This window comes from Homo sapiens, chromosome 5, assembly GCF_000001405.40.
Source record: "Homo sapiens chromosome 5, GRCh38.p14 Primary Assembly".
Lineage (NCBI taxonomy): Eukaryota > Metazoa > Chordata > Mammalia > Primates > Hominidae > Homo > Homo sapiens.
The window spans coordinates 9,777,766-9,798,151 of NC_000005.10; the positions used below are offsets into that span (position 1 = coordinate 9,777,766).

At 41.9% G+C, this 20,386-nt stretch overlaps 1 protein-coding gene and 1 long non-coding RNA gene across 2 annotated transcripts in view; both read right to left on the reverse strand.

The window, feature by feature from the left end:
• Nucleotides 1-20,386, reverse strand: part of TAS2R1 (taste 2 receptor member 1) — a 276,530-nt gene that overhangs the window by 150,419 nt on the left and 105,725 nt on the right. The gene's annotated exons all lie outside the window — the stretch shown is intronic.
• The window catches only part of LINC02112 (long intergenic non-protein coding RNA 2112), a 262,510-nt gene that overhangs the window by 136,451 nt on the left and 105,673 nt on the right, over nt 1-20,386 (reverse strand). The window lies entirely within an intron of this gene.

Consider the following 20,386-nt stretch of genomic DNA (forward strand, 5'->3'; position numbering starts at 1 on the left):
AAATTACCCTTTGATCCATGGGCTGCAGATTGATGCTGTGTTAGCAGGCATGAAGACATTAGTCTCCTTGTACATCTCCACATCTCCATCAGAGCTTTTGGGAGGCCAGGTGTTTTTTTTTTTTTTGAGACGGAGTCTTGCTCTGTCGCCCAGGCCGGACTGCGGACTGCAGTGGCGCAATCTCGGCTCACTGCAAGCTCCGCTTCCCGGGTTCACGCCATTCTCCTGCCTCAGCCTCCTGAGTAGCTGGGACTACAGGCGCCCGCCACCGCGCCCGGCTAATTTTTTGTATTTTTAGTAGAGACAGGGTTTCACCTTGTTAGCCAGGATGGTTTCGATCTCCTGACCTCATGATCCACCTGCCTCGGCCTCCCAAAGTGCTGGGATTACAGGCGTGAGCCACCACGCCCGGCGGGAGGCCAGGTGTTTTGCTGGTGAGTAGTAATATTCTGAAAAAAGTTTCTTTTTTTCCTAAACAGTAGATCTCGATGGTGGGCTTAAAATATTCAATAAACCATGTTGTAAACAGATGTGCTGTCATTCAGGCTTTGTTGTTTCATTTACAGAGCAGGCAGAGTAGATTTAGCATAATTGTTAAGGGCCCTAGGATTTCAAAATGGTAAATGAGCCCTGGCTTCAACTTAAAGTTACCAGCTGCATTAGCCCCTAACAAGATAATCAATCTGTCTCCCAAAGCTTTGAAGCCAGGAATTGTCTTCTCTCTAGCTTGGAAAGTCCTAGATGGCATCTTCTTCCAATACAAGGTTGTTTTGTCTACATTGACAATCGATTATTTAGTTCAGTGACATTCATAACTTGTCTTAGCTAAATCTTCTAGATAACTTTCTGCACCTTCTATGCCAGCACTTGCTGCCTCACCTTGCACTTTTATGTTATGGAGATGGCTTACTTCCTCAAGCCTCATGAATCAACCTCTTCTAGCTTCCAACTTTTCTCCTGTAGTTTTCTCACCTCTCTCAAAAGAAAGTTAGGGCCTTGCTCTGGATTAGGCTTTGGCTTAAGGGGCTGTTGTTGCTGATTTGATCTTCTAGCCAGACTGCTAAAACTTTCTCCATGTCAGCAATAAGGCCCTTTTGCTTTCTTATCATTCGTGTGTTCACGGGAGTGGCACTTTTAATGTCCTCCAAGAAATCTTCCTTCGCATTCACAGCTTGGCTGTTTGGCACAAGAGACTTAGCTTTCAGCCTGTTTTGGCTTTCAACATGCCTTCCTGAGATGGTTTGGATGTTTTTTCCCCTGCAAATATCATGTTGAAATGTGACCTGCAGTGTTGGAGATGGGACCTGGTGAGAGGTGTTTGGGCCATGGTGGCATATCTCTCATGAATGGCTTGGTGCCGTCCTCGCAGTAATGATTTAGTTCTCACTACAAGTTCATGTGAGATCCAATTGTTTAAAAGAGTCTGGACCTCCTTCCTCTCTCCCTTGCTCCATCTCTTGTCATGTGACATGCCTGCTCCTGCTTAGCCTTCCACCGTGAGTAAAAGCTTCCTGAGACCTCACCAGAAGGGGAGTACATGCCAGTGTCATGCTTCCTATACAACCTGCAAAACTGTGAACCAATTAAATCTCATCGTTATAAATTACTCAGTGTCAGGTATTCCTTTATAGCAACAAAAACAGAATAACACACTTCCTCACCAAGTTTAACCATTTCTAGCTTTTGCTTTACAGTGAGAGATGTCAACTCTTCCTGTCACTTGAACACTTAGGGCTATTAACTGGCCTATTTTCAATATTATTCTGTATCATGTAATAGGGAGGCAAGAGGAGAGGAAGAGAGATGGGGAAACAGCTGGTCAGTGGAGAAATCAGAACACACACATTTATTGCTTACATTTGATGTCTTATATGCATGCAGTTTGTGATGCTTCCAAACAATTATGATAGTAACATCAAAGATCACTCACTGATCACAGATCATCATAACAGATATAATAATAATGAAAAAGTCTGAAACATTGCAAGAGTTACCAAAATGTTACACAGAGACCTGAAGTGAGTATATATTGCTGGGAAACAGCATAGATAGTCTTGTTGGATGCAAGGCTGTCGCAAATCTTCAATTTGTAAATAACCCATTACCTGCAAAGTGCAGTAAAGAGAAGCACAATAAAATGAGATATGCCTGTACTTACCCTCAGCTGACTTCTGATGCACACTAGAGTTTAACAATTCAACAAACACTGCTAGAGATGAACCCACTTTTCTGTGAAAGGCCAATCTTTCTGTGTGCCACATACCCTGTGACCTGTTCAAAGACATTGTCCAGCACGGCCCCTTTTCTCTCCTGCACCATCAGTTTTCCCCCTTTCTACAAGATCATTTCCTTTGACATAGAAGACTGCTGTTAATCATCTCATCTCATGGAAAAGAACATCACCCCCTCCCACTCTGACAGTTACCTGACCTGCAGCTCTCTGCCCCTGTACAGCAATTCTCCTGGGAAGAGATTTCTTTGCTGGACTCTTCTTTGCTTAACTTCTCTTCTGGAATTATTTCCTGAACTCATTTTCCTCATGTTCCATCACCAGCCCTCCACTGCACTGAAAGGTTCCCTACTACAGTTACACAGGACCTTTGTGTCACAAAATCCAGAGGTCAATTCTGATTCAGATTCCTTTGGCTAACTGGTCATCAGCTGCATTTGACAGAGCTGGGACCCCCTACCCACTAATGGACATTGCTAATTCTATAAGTGTCCTGGCTACCTCACTTGTTGCTTCTTCTCCATCTCCACGTCTTTCTGCATCAACATTAAGAAGTCAGGAGAAGGGGCTCTTCCTTCTTCCGTAATGATTATACTCTTTTGGTAAATTCAACCAAATTCATAGCTTCAATTCTATCTGTACCAGTCAAGATTCTCCAGACAAATGGAACTAACAGAATGTGTGTGTGTGTGTGTGCGCGCGCGCGCGCATGCACGCACATGTGCGTTCATGTTAGGTTATAGTACAGTTATTTAATCAAACACTAATCTAGGTATTTTTGTAAATGTGGTTAACATCTATAATCTTGTTAACTTCAAGTTAAAAAGAATACCCTCAACTCTGTGAGGAATAGGCCTCATGCAAGTAGTTGCAGGTCTTAAGAGCGAAAACTGAGGTTTCCCAGAAAACAATGAATTCTGCTTCAAGACTGCAGCATCAACTCCCTCCTGAGTTTCTAGTCCACCAGCTTGCCTATGCATTTCAAACTTGCCAGCTCCCACAATTGTGTGAGCCAATTTCTTAAAGTAAATCTCTTAATGCGTAATATATTTTATGTAGGATATATATCCTATAGCCTAGCCAAGTTGACACATAAAACTAACCATCAAATGATCCATGTACCATGACCCTGATTCATATTTTCAGTCCAAATTGTTTTGTGTATCCACTTGCTTACTCAATATCTCCACTTGGGTAACAACACAATTTTTAAAGTTGAACTTTACCTGCAGACTTTTTGCTCTCATTTGGTGGCAACTTGATCCTTCCTGTCCTGCAGTCTGAAAATGTTAGAATCATCCTTGGCTCCTCTCATTCACACCCTGCATTCAAATCCTGCTGGCTCCGACATCTCACAGCCTCCACTGCTCCCACATTTGTCCCCAGCACCATGTCTCACCTGGACTGCTGCAATGGCCTCCAGAGCTGCTTCTGCCCTTGTGTGCTGGGGTCTGATTGCAACACAGCAACCCAAGCGACTCTCCTAATCTGTAACTGAGACAAGCTATTTCTTCACACTAGACCACACCACTTCTCCACTGAGTAAAAGGCACAGTCCCTGCCCAGGAGGCCTCCAGAGATCTGTCCCCTTTTCCTCACTGACTTAAATTCCCCACTCTGCTGTATGTGTAAACCACTCTGACAACACTGTCCTCCCTGTGTTCCCAAAAGACAACAGACACACTCTGCTCCAGTGCTTGGACCCTAGAATACTCCCTCTGCCTGGGATCTGCTTCTCCCAGATGCCCACATGCTCACTCTGCCTACTTCAAGGAACTTGAATAATGCCCTTCTCAGCAAGGCCCCCTGCATGTGCCATTTGAACCTGCAGCCTCTCCATCCATCATCCCTGCCTATCCTCACCCTGCTCTGACTTGTCCTTGTGTTTGGAGCCTTCTCACCTTTACCCCTACTATTCCATTGACTCATTACATTTATTGTCTGGTCTTTCTTCCCCATTAAAATGGGGATAGATGTCTTTCTGGTTTTTTACACTGATGTTTCTCAAGCACATAGAATAGCATCTGGCTCAAGCGGGTCCTCAATAAATATTTGTGGAATAAATGAGTCATTTGTGAATATATCTTGATGTGCTATTCCTTCTCACTTGAACATTACAGTGGAAGCTCCATGGAGACAAGGGCTTGCCTCTCTTACTCAGGCCCCTCCAGCAGTCCATGCACAGGGCAGGCCTGGCAAATACTTGTTGGGGACTTCTGACCAATGAAGGTCTTTGGAGATGAAAGAGAGGCCAATTCCTACAAGTTACAGGATCTCATAGTCCTCTTTTCCCAAGGTTCACTGTGCTGGGATTTGCAGGTTTCTGGAAGATTTTGAAGTGAGCACTCTACTTTTAAAGCCACAGTATCCAGTTTACTGATGAACTCCACTCTGCCTTTTCCCCTTCAAAACCTGATGCCCTTACCAAGCTGATTTCCCCTGGGTGGGCATCCTGATGGGTGGGGCGGGGCGGGGCTGGGGGGGTCCCACCCACATATTAAGCCCTGACTTGCTGGAACTGGTCTGAACATTTGTGCCTCAGGGCAAGTCAAAGCAAGACCCCTTTGCACCAAGCCAGGCATTGTTTTAGAACTCTGACTCCAGCACTGCATGGTCTCCAGCTGCAGGGACCTTGTCTTTACATCACTGATGGGCGCATTAACCACAAACTAAGAGTCGTGCATGCAAGAATTTCAACCTACCTCATCTGTAGCTTAAAAACACTTTTAAAGGCAATACATCTTTTCTTTTCTTTCTAAAGGGACTAAATGTTGCCTTGTCCAGTGGAAAAAAAAAATCTACTTATAAAAAGCATTCTTTGGGGGAAAGAGGGAGTGATTCTTATCTGAAAACCAATGGAGCAAAAGGACTAACATTTTACAAGCTTCAGTAAAACCCAGGAAAACCTCTCAGAATGAGGATAGCTAGGGAGGACAGAAACCCACGAGCTAGAGGGAGGTCAAAGTCCTGGCTCTTTAGTGGGTGTTGCTGAAGTTGACAAATAGCAGGCATTTGTGTGGTTTGCAGACATCGCTGTCCTTGCCTCCCCATGGCTGCAGAAGGGGCGTGTCTCCTGTCTTCATCAAATCTCTGCAGCCCCGTTGCCTTCTCCTTGCCTTACTCTATTGGCTTTTGAATACTTCATTAACTTTTAAATCCAGCCATTTAAATGCTTGCATAGCCTAGTTCCCCTTTACCTAAAAGAATCATTACAACATTGTCTCTCTCCTCATATACTTAAATCATCTCACTCAGGCATCTGCAAAGATAATCTCAACGATTCTACTTAAACTCCTTAGCTATTAAGAAAGGCAGTAACATCAACAGGCTGAGCTGGCCCTTGAAATGGGAGAAGCTCCTAACAGCATCTGGTCAGCTTAGCTGATGCAATTGCAAGGCTGGCCTGGAGAAGGCCCCATCCAGAGACTCCTCCCTGCAGAACCAGATGGCTTCAAGAATATGTGCATCCGTGCTGGGCCCTGGGAGCTGGGGTTCTACTTAAACACCTTTGGACCTGCTGGGACGTCCTTCCTTGAGTGTAAGCCCAGTTTCTCAAGCCCATATCCTCTTCTTTTGATTACAACATTGTAAATTATTAAATAAAATTTTCATACTGATTTCCTTTAGAGTAAAAGAATTTTGTGCTTTTTTAATGGAATAAGAATATTTCAATCTTTCTTTCTTTTCTCTTGGTTATTTCTAGTGCTTTAAAATGTGAACACCAAAACTATTTTTTTATTATAACAGAAAAGCCAAAATATTGTTTAAAATATGTGTAGCCAAGACAAATCTTATTATACATGCTCATATCTTGGAAGAACTTGTGCACAGTTAATGGGTTGATGAGTGAAGCATTCAAGACAGGGAGTTGCTCAGCACTGGAGTGTCCAGAGGTCTTGAAGGTCCTGGTTAGGAGCCCAGTCTCCAGAGCTGCGCTACCTGGATTCACATCCCAGCTGCATCTCTTCCTGGCTGTATGACCTTGGACAAATGACTTAACCTCTCTGTGCTTCAGTTTTCCACAGTAAAATAAGTATGAGAACACTACCTAGGGCATCAGGATGTGAAGTTTAAATAAGTTAATAAACTTAAAGAACACAGGATGGTACTGACCATTGCATGCCATGTAAGGGTTTACTATGAACATTAGCTCTTAATGCTCTATAATTGAATATAATTTTGATTTGGAATATCTATCTAACCAGGCTAGCAGGAGTCTTTCTTCTGTCTCTGGGGTGTCCTGTGGAGAGGGAAAATCCCCCAAATCCCCAGGCTGGGACCAGGCCAAGGTCTGTCCACAGAGGACACTACTGAGAGCCCTTGGGCTCTCATACATCCAGGACTCACCACAACTGCTGGGTCTCCCTGAGGTCCATATGCCAGAAAATACTTCTCAAGTACCTGCTCATGTGTGCTATCCCCAGCAGCTGGCATGAGGCCTGAGAGTGTGCCCAGCACACTGGCAGAGAACATTCAATGTAGGCAAAGGAAAAAGAACAGACAGCCTGGGAGGATAGCACAGGGTTTCAACCTTATGCATAAGAATCATGAAAAGGTCTCATCGTCAAACCGCCAGCCTGCCCCTGAAAAGCAGGCCAGAGTAAAAAGGTTCAGAGCTCACAAAAGAAATGTATTGCCTCTCAGTCCTGGAGGCTGAAAGTCCAAAATCAGGGTGTCCGCAGGGCCCCGCTCCCTCAGAAGCTCCAGAGGAGGATCCTTCCTTGCATCTTCCCAGCATCAGTGGCTGCCACCAATCCTTGGGTTTCCCTGGCTGGTGGCAGCATCACTCGAAGCCCTGTGTGTCTCTGTCTTTGCATGGCCATCTTCATATAAGGACACTGTTCAGATTAGATTAGGGGTCCACCCTACTCTAGTATGACCTCATCTCAACTTAACTAATTACATGTGCAGGAAGACTGTTTATAAATAACATCCTACTCTGAGATCCTGGGGGTTAGGACTTCAACATATCATTTTTGGGGAGACACAATTCAACCCAGAACAGTATCCCATGTTAAATTAAAGGGGCTATATATTTTTCAGCAAAAAAGAGGAATGCATCTCTTCATAAAGACATAGACATATAATTTTACTGGAATGAAACCTTATCTTACATGCCCTTTTCACCATGGCTACAGCTCCCCACTCTCTCATCTCCCCACAGCCAGGTGAGTTCTGTTGCCATTTGTTGCTATGTGTATCCTTCCATATGCTTCTATTTACTCAAATGAGCCTACACACACCTATGTAGGCAGATACTCATTGTGTAAATATGCATCTTCAGGGGAGGTTTTTGTCACGGTTTTACAAAAATAGAATCAATCATTTCAAGTGCCTTTTGTAAATTTTGCTTTTATCACACAATAACATCTGGGGGAAGTCCTGCCAAGCCATCTTCCAAGGCTCTAAAGCATTATCTTTAATGATTGTATTATGTATTCTGCAGTGTGGGCATTAGCCAAAAATTAACAGTGATTATCTTAAGACACTTGGGGGTAGGGTCTCTCTTCCTTTATCTTTGTGGAGATTTGATAGCTGTTCAATAAATATGAGTATGTTTGAATTGAAGCTGAAACATTTTTCAAAAATCTCAACTCTGATAGCATTGATGCCATTTATACAATTTTATTCCTTCTTGAGGACACTGACATTTTAGGGTCCCAGAGACTATGTTTAACATTCCCTATAAACCATCACATTTATTTATCTTACCAGCCCAAGGAGGTTAAAGTCTCCATCTAAAGACAGGGCAGGAGGTTCAGAGACCTGGGCACACAGCGTAGTGGGCAGACTGAGGACTCAAACCCTGAACTAACAACCTCCCACACCCATCACTCTCTGCCATATTAGGTTTCAAAAGTTACACATCATCTCATATGCTAGACTTGGCTCTGGAAATCTAGTTTTGGTTGTTCCCAAACCCACCCTCCAAAGTTATATGACCACTGAAAATATACAAAGTAATGAAGCAGAGCCAAAAAGTAAACAAAAAAGTTTTAGCAATCCATGACCCCTGCTGCTCTGCAGAGAACTGTCCTAATTTTCCTTTGCTTATTTAAAATCAGTGACTTGACTTCAGTCACATATGTTACACATACATAATCTAGTTTCTAGAAGCAGAATAGAAACACTTACTCATACACGACTGGGCAGGATGTCATTAGGAAAAGGTGAAGGAGGTGACAATTTGGGGTTCCAGGCCCTGAGTTGAGGGAGGACAGTGGTGACCTATTAAACTAGACAATGGCTAAGATTGTCATGCTTGTTTGCTGTCTCTGAGAGCATATTTCCTAGGAAAGATGTTTAGGAGTATTTGACAAAGACCCATATGAAAGTTCCTTCACAGCATATTTTACCTCTAACTGTCTATGAATTCATGTGTGACTTTGATATAGATGCTGTAAACTTTGGTACACAAAGTAACTAAGTCCCATCACAGTATGGAAGGGATGTGAATTTCAAAGGTGAGTAAGTGGTGCCTAGAATTTACCTTTCTTACCTTCCTGAAATAGCACGTACAATAACACGGTTCTCAACGTGGGCTGAGTATTCTAAACACCTAGGAACTAAAAAGTTTAAAAGTGCTGACACCTGTATTTCAATGAATTGATTTAATTAGTATAGGATGTAGCTGAGCATCGAGATTCCATAAACTCTTCAAATGACTCGAATATGCAGCAGAAGTTGAGACCCACAGCCCTAGGAGATTTGAGGGGAAAGCATTAAAATTGTTAAAAATTAGAAGGACTGTTTGTGAAATAAGATAAAATTAAGGAGAAATAACCTCCTTTACTGAGCAATGTAGCCTTCTATGAGCTGCCCCCAACCTTGCTCTTCAGTCCCACCTTCCATTCTTCCCCACATTTTTTGTTGTAGCTGAAACATACTTTCTCTGCATAAGCCACATCATTCTTCTCCTCTTATGCTTTGTAAATATTTTCCCCTCTCCCAGGAATCTTTCTCTAAATGAATCCTGCACTTTCTTGGTGATTCCATCTAAGTGGTCTATTTGGACAGAACTTCAGTGGACTCACTGCATTTCCCTCAACTATATGTTTTGGCCCAAGTTTCTCCACTTGACCTCAGTGAACACCAAAGAGACAGAGATGTTGCGCCATGCATTCCCATCACCTAGCCAGGTGACTAGCACATCATAGACAGTCAACAAATGGCTGTGGGGTGAAGTCAGGAAGCAAAACAGCATTAGGAAGTATGTATCAGCTTCTCACCAATTGTAGTATTGAGAAATTTATCATCTTGACAGGCATAAACATGTAAGAGAAAATTTGCTTTGCAAATTATAGCACCCAAAAGCTTAAAAGAAAACATCATGAAAAAGACAGGTAAAATTGAACTCATTCCATCTAATATGGTGTTTAAAAATGTGTCTCCATTTTTTCTTTGTACTTATTATCAAAAACCAGGTATTGCAAAAGTATATTAGTAATCACATTATTCTTTTTTCAGTCTGATGGAAATACAAGATACAAGTGGTCCTACAGAAGAACTCTTCCCTTTGGAAGACTGAAATGCCTGGTAACACATGGCTGCAAATGTTTGCTGATCTCTCTAATCAATCCCCTGCAAGCTCACTAGCCAAGTGGCAGTGACACTTTGGAAATATCAGAACCTGGTAATTTATTTCTTGACTGTCTTCCCAAACAATTAAGGACCTAACATCTGCGTGCTAAGCAACCATGGGCTACTCCTTTCCAGCAACTTTGCAAGAAACACTGTCAGAACTCCTTAAAAACAATCAACTCTGAAAAAGAGGACCCCAGAGAGTGTCTGCACTTGAGTGAATGTTGCCCAAGCAAGGGCAAACTTCTGCCACATACAGCACATGTTTTTAAAGATGAAGTTCTTGTCCAGGGTGTCTGGCAATTGTGTGGCACTTTGAATTAGACTTTGCAGAATGACAGCAATTTGACCAACAGCGTCTGAGGGGCAGATGCTTTCTGCACACTCTCAAGCTCAATGTGGCACAATCCAGGCGATTTTGCAATGCTGGATGCATGGTGAGCCTGCTGGGCTGTCAACAGCCGCACAAAGTGAGGTTGTGCCAGAATCATGGGGTGTTCAGCATTCAAAGAGAACTCAGATATCACCTCATTCAGCCCCTTCACAGTACAGATAAATGGAGAGAGACCAGAGAGCTTAATGATTTCTTGTTGAAGGATCACACATAGAAAGGTATATGTGTGTTCAATCCAAATTTGCAGGCTTAAATTCGAGTTCTCTGCCTGCCTAATCTAAATTGGCTATTTGCACTGTCCAAACACACCAGTTGATATTCTGAACTTCCTTTGACTTTCCACCCGATAAGCAGCTTAAGGATGACTGACTGTATTGACTTGCCCAAGTCAAGCTGGGGCTGCACGGATGGTCTCTATCCATTGCTTCTGCTGTGCATGGCTAATACAGCTCCCAGCCACCGGGTAATCCTTGCTAGCATCCAGTTATTTTGCTGTCACTCACCACCTCTGGGCAATCTTTATCTCTGACCTAAAAACCCGTGAGAGCTAATTCCTAGAATTTAAAGAATTTCCAACAGGTATGTGAGAGTAGAAGCATTTCTACTAAGATCTTTGTCTCTTAAAAAAAATAAAATAAAAAAGGAGCAGATAGCCACAAAGAAACAAGAAAATATAATTATGGGTCTATTTGTCTTGCCTTTCATCTCAGAGAGAAATGTGGCATCTTGTAGAGCATGTGGGTTGATTTCAGCCGAACAACAGTAAACTCATTAGAAGCTACAAGATGGGGTATTTTAGAAAAGAATACAGAGTGGAGGTTGTAAGTGAAATATGAAAATGTTTTTATTCTAAAACTAGAATAAATTTTCTATGTAAATTTTCTTCATGACACAGAGATAAAATTAAGTGAAAAACAAAAATAGAAGAATGGTCTCTAATTTTTGCCTCCCCACCACAAAAACAGGGGCTATGCAAGGACAATGTATGCATTTATACACATGCCTATGAGCCATGAGTCTCCATTTTCTTGTTTGTATCATGGTTTCACAAAGATAATACCTGTCTCCTCCTACTTAACAACCTCTAAAGCAAATACAACAAAAATGAGCTAGTAGACACCATTCCCATGCCTACCCCCAAGTAACTTATCCAGCTTTGAAAGAATTACCATCCAAAGGAGGAAAACGGGCATCAACCCAGGAGCCTGGGAAAGGTATTTGATACAAAGCATCAAATCTGCCAGGCATTTGATACTAAGTAATGACTTCAAAAGCAAGGTGACCAGAGGAAGCTTTAGATCTTCCTCTGCAGGAACAGTTTGACTTTTGCTTTAAACCTGGCACAATTTAATCTTTATTTGAAGGATATACATACAGAGTCATTTTCTTCATTAAGCTGCCTTGACGTGCGCAGATCCTTCGACAGATTTAAATCAACATGCTTGAAAAATGGGCACAAATAATTTGGCATGTGAAACGGGATAGGATCTTCTCCAATAAAACATGGAACTTCAACGTGGAGCCAATTACAACGTTGCATAGATTCTAAGACATCACCAATTGTAAGGCAGATTTTCATTTTTCAAATGACTGAGAAAAAATGTGTGAATTAAGGTATAGCAGGATCCCTCCATGACAGCCTGTGTACCAGATGCATGAATCGATCACACCAGTCTCTCCTTAGTTTAAATGTCTTTATCCTGCTGTGTGGATCTGGCAATTTCTCCTGCCTTCAGCAGCATTGGTGGTTGTGTGCTAGGCAATTCTTCTCCACACATCTCAGTAGTCATTTGTGTCCACCTACTTCTTTTCTTGGGTTTGGTAAGTTATGCTGTGGCAACAAACACCATCCAAATCCCAGGGATTTACAGCAACAAGTATATTGCAACAAGTATATTGGCTGTGGTTCTGCTTCGTAAGTCCTGCAGTCCAGAATAAAAGAACAGCCCCTACTGGGGACATGCCATCCTCATGGCAGAAGGCCAAGAGGAACTGCAGAAGAGTGTGATGGCTCCTAAGGCCTCTGCCCAGAAGAAACATATATCACTCTGCTCATGTTCTTTGCCAAAGAAATCACATGGTCAGGCACAACATTATCAGGATGTGAAGTATGCTCCTCTCACATGCAATGCACAAAGGACAGGCCCTGGAGGGAGGGATCCAGTACAGAGGGGCAGTGAATGTTTTCAACAAATGTTACAATCTACCATTAAGCCTTCGATGGTCACTTTGCAAGGAAATAGAGAATGTGGTTATTCTGACAAAGAGCAGTATTTGCTCCACTGATAACACATTTTATACCCTGCCACTCTGTTTTCATGCCTTTTTGTGTATTTAATAATTTTTACTTTAAATGCCAAAAATATGTAAATTTTGGAGATAATTTAAACATCAATTAAACTCAACCATATAGTTAGCAACAACATACATGACTCAACTGAAGCCACATCGGTGTAGCAACTGGGGCCGAGTCTACCCAAACACAGGCAATGCCAACTGTGTCACGGCTGTTTCCCGTCAACGGCAAGCATAAATCATCATCATTTGTAAGATGCATCTCACTTGCACATGTGTTGAAATGTAAAAAAAGAAAAAAAGTATCGTACAATTAAATACAGCATTGTGTGTGTCTGTGTGTGCATGTGTGTGTGTAAAATAAGAATTTTTTTTTCTTTTTTGAGACAGTCTCACCCTGTCGCCCAGGCTGCAGTGCAGTGGTGTAATCTCGGCTCATTGCAACCTCCGCCTCCCAGGTTCAAGCAATTCTTCCGCCTCAGCCTCCTGAGTAGCTGGCATTACAGTCACTCGCTACCACGCCTGGCTAATTTTTTTTTGTATTTTTAGTAGAGTTTTTTAGTGGGGTTTTGCCACATTGGCCAGGCTGGTCTTAAACTCTTGATCTCAAGTGATCCACCCACTTCTGCCTCTCAAAGTGCTGGGATTACAGGCATGTGCCACTGTGCCTGGCCTATAAAATAATATTTGTTTATCAGCTCTTAAATGCTCTGCATTCTTGCTCTTTGGAGCATGGTCTGTGGCCCAGCACTATGGATGTCTTCCAGGGGCTGGTTACCAGTGAAAAATCTTGAGCCCCAACCAAGACTCTTGACTAAGAATATTAACAAGATCTATGAGTGAACCATATGCTCACTAAGTTAGATAAGCAGTATTCTAAATGACATTAGTCTTATAGCTGTGAAGTGCATTATAGTGGAGTGAACACACACACACATACACACACACACACGGATCATGGGTATGATGAGATGACTCTGCTCAGAATCCTCCCTTGCAGCCTTGGCCCCAGCATGTACAGTGAGAGAGAAGAGCATCTCAGGGTTATCCCATTCAGCAGGACGAGTGCAATGACAAGGACAGATCAGGTATCTCCAACCCTGGCTGTGCATTAACATCACCTGGCAAAGTTTTTAAAAATGCTGAAACCGGACCGGGTGCAGTGGCTCATGCCTGTGGTCCCGGCACTTTGGGAGGCCAAGGTAGGTGAATCACTTGAGGCCAGGAGTTCGAGACCAACCTGGGCAACACAGTGAAACCCCATCTCTACTAAAAATACAAAAATTGGCCAGGCATCATGGCGCATACCTGTGATTCTGGCTGCACAACAGGCTGAGGCAAGAGAATTGCTTGAACCCAGGAGGTGGAGGTTGCAGTGAGCTGAGATCATGCCACTGCACTCCAGCCTGGGCAATGAAGCAAGACTCCATCTAAAAAAAGAAAGAAAAGAAAAGAAGAAAAATACTGATACCTAGGCCCTGTCCTCCAAGATTCATTTGGTTTAGGGTACCTGTGTTTTTAGATACTTCCCCACATGACTCTGTTGTACAGCCTGGGTGTGGGGCTTCCAATGTAGAGGACGCATGCAGATAGAAGGTCCATTTGTGAACTAGAAACAGAGCTATCTGAGCTCTCCTGTGAGCAGCCGAATCTTCTTCACCGTCAAGATCACTGTATAAATAATATATTCTCATGTAGGGGGCAGGAAAGAGAACGAGATGTGTTGGATAGAGTTTAGTGCCACCAGGAGTCAGGATTCAAGTGGGATAACAAGGACTTCGGATTTGATTTGATTGCAGATCCATGTGTCATGTCTAATACACATTCAATGTAGGGAAACCACACAAATTTGAAGTCCCAAGACCTGGATCTGGAACTTTTTTCTACTGATCATCTTTTTTTTACCCTTGAATAACCCACCTATGCTCCCCAAGGCTCACTTTCAAATAGGTGTTCATATCACAGAAACACACACATATATGCATGTAAATGCATGAACATTCACATTCACATATAGCAATTTTTAAAACATAATGAACCTCTGCTATTTTCCAAGACTTTTAGGTTGTCATGGTCATAAATACAGAATGAACCCATCTGTTCTATCTGGTAGCCTATAGATATAAACCTGGGATTGATGACATGATTACTGGGAGAAGTAGGCTTTCTTCCCGTGTTATAACTTTGAAATGTCTGACCTATCTTGCACTAGGTTACAAACACTGGCAACGATCAACCCGACTTTTGAAGTGGAAAAATTACTTGCACGGCAGCTATTGACAACACGACTTTCATTCCAAAAGGATATAAAACTCAAAAGTGAGTGTGAATGCTGGTGATCCCATATTTCTTTGCTCAGGTGTCAATGCTATATCCCTGGGAAGTTCCCAAATGACTACTCCTGCTTGACGACTTAGGAGGAAACATGGCAGCGATCATTAATCTCATGGGGAAAGTGGTATGTATGATGAAAAAAGATCTATATATGAATCTTTACTTCTACTTTGGGATATAAAAAATAGGACTCACTGAGAAGAAGAACATGAAGGCCTCTATATGATCTTTCTTCCTCCACTCAGTTCTGCTTTTCATCTTTAAACTGGTGATATTCTGATCAAAATGTTCATTCTATCCCAAATCCAAGCATATTCTCTTGAAAGTGAAGGGGATCCCACAATTAAAAGCAAAAATGCCAACATCTCACCACTGTGCTAATAGGGATGATTCCATTGCATATAAAAGATGCATTTTCTTAGAAAGAATCTTCATGAAACAGACTTTGCTCAAGTCCACCTATACATAGAGCATGAAGGTGATCAAGAGACTCTTCCAGGAGTTTCTTCTAACACATCCAGCAAAACACGGTCCTAAAATGGCAGGACTGGAAAAAAGAGCTACTCAAAATACATGAGGTACTTGTTTTCTTTGTGGGCTTTTTGTTCCTGGAGGGGGAGGAATTAGGAGGGGAAAGGGCATAGGAAATGATGCAGACATATTGTATAAATTAGGAATGGCCTAAGCTAATTGAAGATAAAAGGGAATAAAACACACATGTTAGGGAAGTTTGGTTTCAAAACAACTCAATACTACCTATGCTGTTATGGGATAATGAGCAAAAGGTAGTTCTTTCAACTCAGGTAACTAAGAAAGAGAAAACTAAACTTTGATCACTATAGAGGAAACCAAATACAGTAAATGGGAAAACCTTAGGGACAGATGGAGAAGGACAGTATTAAGTTTGTGGGGGTGTCATAAGATAGGAGGCCTTGGAAGACACAATAAAATCAGCTCAGATGCCCATATGCACACTCAATGCAGGTGCTCCGCTGCAGTTCTCAGTCAAGGACCAGGCCTGCAGTCTGGGGTGGTGAGTCCTTCAGCATTGGATGTGGTGTGTGGTCAGGCAGAACAGAAACCAGATGCAGCCCTGGGGTGCGGGGTCTCATTCAGTCAAGTCAGGGAATGAGAAGCTGTGAATTATTAGGCTGCTGCTTTTGAAAAGTGGATAGGGAGACAACATAAAACACCAGGAGGCATGGACAGTGAGGCCTGGAGAAGTGCTGGCACCCTGCAAGCTGATCATTCTGGGTGTGGTACCCAGACCCTGTGTCTCGGTCCAGAACCACACTCCAGAGCTGAGCCTCAGATGAAAGTTGGCCCTTCCTGAAGGATTCAGAAACATTGTACTCAGGAAGATACAGAAAACTTCAGAAATAATGAAGCAAAACTAACCCACAGAATTAATACTTTGTGTTGAATTTAGGAATGAACTGTGTAACCAGGATTTGTGTAACCAGGGTTTTGTGTCACCAGGATTTTTTAAAATCTTGTAACCAGGATTTTTAAAAATCTCTGGGTCATTTAAGTCATTTGAAACATCTCTGTTATTCCAGCATATTAGAGCATGGGACTTTTTGGCCTTGGGTTTTAAAATTTTTTAGTTGATTCTAGACTTGTGGTTTGAATTTGAAAGAAATAAGATTTAAGTTTGCAAAGAGTCTTTGAAGTTCAAGAGAACTTGATTGATTTATTATATTTATAAGAGCTGGGTAAGTGATTTGAAGGAATTGGTTTATTGTAAGTCTATCCTGTTAGGGATATAAAAGGATTCAGATATATTAAATTTATAAAATATTTTTTAAATGCTTATGGGAATTTAACTACTTCAGTTTACACGTTTGAGTGCTTAAGTGAATTGTATTTGTTCAATTGATGAGTTAATCAACAAATATTAATAAACAAATATAAGTGATCATTCTTATTTTACACAAAAATTACTAAATTTATTATTTAAAACAAAGTTTGTCACTTTAACAGGTTAAGAAAAAATTAATTTTCAACTTAAAAATTGAGCCTCTATTTAAACAATTACCCTAAGTAAACTTTTCTGAGAAAATATCTTTACTAAAATGTTTTTTCTTAAGTCTTAACTGTTATATACCTCATACGAATTCAGAAAGGGGTCACATTTTGCTTTGAAACATAAGTATGGTTGTTCTGTTTTCCTTATTAACCATTTGAAGGGAGAAAAAATTATCCCAATATTGCAGCTAAGTTTAGAGTCCTGCTGTGGAGATACAGCCTTTCTTGGTAGAATGTCAAACTTGAATCCATTCAACCTACACACATTAATAATATAATAATGATAATTTCAGTATTTGGGTTTATCTTTCACTTTTGCAAAGAATAACTGTACATATTCATGAAGTACATAGTGATGTTTTAATACATATAATGTATGGTGATCAGATCAGGGTAACTGGCACATCCATCATCTCAAGCCCTTATTATTTCTTTTTGTGGGGGGACAGATATTCAACGTCCTCTTTCTAGCTATTTGAAACTGTATCATATAGTCAACTGTAGTCACCCTACAGTGGTACAGAACACTGGAACTTACTCTGGCCATCGGCTTCTCTAATCAGCGTTTTCTACAAAGCAACCAGAGGCAATTTATGATTCTTTCTATCTACTTGAAACCTGGAGACACATGCACCTTACTAACATCATGATGAAGTGTCCTTGGACTTGACTGCTAAGACTATTCCATTTCTAGGAGACTTTTTCCCCTTGGGGCTAGAGGACAAAGTAATATCTTCAAAAGCTAAAAGCTCTTGAACACAAAAAGGGCCCAGCACCATGTCTAGCACATAACAGGTGTGCAACATACCAGGGTTTCCCTATTCTCAGCTCTTTTACTTCAAGCCTTAATTGCCTTCTACCTCCAAGAAAAAAAAAAGAAAAGTAGCCAGGTCTAGGAGTCAGGATGCCATTGGAGGTTTCGGATAATGTCTTGAGGACTCAGAAGATGAAGCTGCTATAGGGCATAATTTCCCTTTCCTGGTCACACTTGGCCCCATCCAAGACAAAGTAGGAACAATTTCCTTCGGCACAGGCTCAAGTGCTGAAGAAGTTTTTCAAGTTCATCCCCTCCTGGTTTTCCTTGTGCTCTCAAGAGTTCCCAATCTAAGCTCTAATTCAGGGTCCTGATCCTGATCCTTGTGCTCAGAGGAACATGGATGTGCTTTGGAGCAGCCCTTGAATTTGTCTGTGTTGGTGAATTTGTGTGACAAATTTGGGGTAAGTGTAATTGAATATTGTCATTTTATAGGGAGAGGATCCACAGCTTCCATCCTATTCTCTAAGGGTCCAGAAAAGTGAAGCTCAACCACCCCAGACATTTCCCAGGTCCTCTCCCTCACCGAAACATACTGACCTCTGTCCATTTCCTGGGAACTTGTCTGCAGGCAAATAGACAAATTAACCCCAATGAAGATGGCAGGAGATGACAGGGACCTCAGGGTTGCTCTTCAAGAGCCAGAATAAACTTCATACAACAAAAGAGTCACTGATGTGGCATGTCAGGACACTGATCAAGGCATTAAAGGTGTTTGAAGATTGTAGGTTAAGAATTTAAATACAGCAGAATAATTTAACTCTTACAAGACCACACAGTAGACACAAAAATGCTTGCTAAACAGATGTGTCCACAGTAGCCCTTCCCTGTGAACAAAAGTCTTTCATTGACTCACTGCTCATATCTACCCCACTGGGCCCAGGCACCAGCCCTAGCAGAAATGCAGGGACTGTCACCCTACCCACTTGCTGTGAGCAGAACCTATAGCTTCAGGGTAGGGAGAGGACAATTCAAGAGGATATGGCCAGCAAGGGTCTCAAATAGGACTTTATGCATCATACTGCCTCTTTGAGTAAGGTGAACAACTGTCTGGGTTTTAGCACTGAAATTCCTGCATCCTGGGAAACCTCTCAGTCCCCACAAATTGGGAAGATTTGTTGCCCTGCATACAAAAATCCCCAAATTTCCTCCTTCTGGGAAGTATTCAGAGCTTCCATCCTAAGCCAAAACAACAAAAGAGTGGCCTGAAAGTCCTTTAAAGATGTGTCATTTGAAAACATAAAGGAAAGTCTTTGGCGCAGAAAATAGCTATTTTCTGGAAAAAAAAAAAAAAAAAAGAAAAGAAAAAAAAAAAGAAAAGTGTTCTCTGCCAGTGGCACCACACCAATTCCTTGATAACTGGCAGACTTTGACTCAAGCAGCACTCAACTTTGAATCAAAGTTAAATTAAAAAGCCCTACTTCAAACTGTCATATTTTCCTCCACTTGTTTCCTATAACTACCCCCTGCTAACCCAAACATGTTTCCCTTCACAGGACTGTCCTTAGTCGGCAGACATTGTTGCTACAGTCACTGGGAAACACTGCTCCATATATAGGCAACGTGTCTTGGAGCCACATGTTCTGCCCTTCAACATCCTCCTGGGATCCTCCTGGGGTGCTAGGAGGAGTTTGATTGGGCTCACCAATCCTCAGCCTTTGCTAGATGAAGAGCATTATGGGGGATGAGAGGATGTCACAACTGTCCCCTAGACCAATGCTTCCAACCCAGATGATTATGCCTCCTCCCCGGGGAAGACTTGGCAATATTTGAAGATGTTGATTGTTGTGACTGGAAGGTTTGCTACTGGCATGTAGTGCGTAGAGGCCAGGGGTACTGCTGACGTACCCTACAATGCACAGGATAGCCCCCCAACAACATAGAATTCAATGTCAATGTCAGTAGTCAGTGAGGGTCCTCTCAGAGGCTGCTTTATAGCATGTGGGGTACTTGGAAGACAAGGCAGCCCGAAGTTTGCACATTTACCACCTTCTCTGAGACACAGCCTCACTGCTTCTGAATGAGAAAAAAAGCTTGTTTTAGCAGGAGACAGAAGAAAGCATGAATTAACAGCAAAAAATTCTAGTCTATAGAATAAAAATATCTCCTACCCAGCCGAGGAATCAGGAACAATTAGTGCCTAATATAGGTTGTTGATGATGATGCCACCGGTGATTCTGCAGCTCATTCCTCTGTTGACTTAAATCCCAGGAATCAGGAAAAATTAGTGCCTAATAAAGGTTGTTGACGATGATGCCACTGCTGATTCTGCAACTCATCCTTCTGTTGACTTACGTAGCAGGCTGTTTTTAGCTTAATTTTGAACTCTTTTTGAAATACCTTGCAAATTCTACAATTATAAAAAAAAATCTACGTAGATTTTAAAAAATGAATTTGCAAGGTATTCCAAAGAGAATTCAACATTAAACTAAAAACAGCACCCTACATAAGTCATGTTCAACTAATACACCTGCATATTTGCCTCCAAAGATGTGTATACGAATGTTCACAGCAGCATTATTCACGATAGTTTAAAAGTGGAAACAATCGGGATACCCATCAGCTGGTGAACTGGCCATGGAAGCATGGAACATCCACGCAATGGAATACATGTGATAATAAAAGGGAACGAGAACATAAATGAGCCTCAAAAACATTAGGCTAAATGAAAGAAGCCAGACAGAAAAGATCCCATGGTGTACGATTTGAT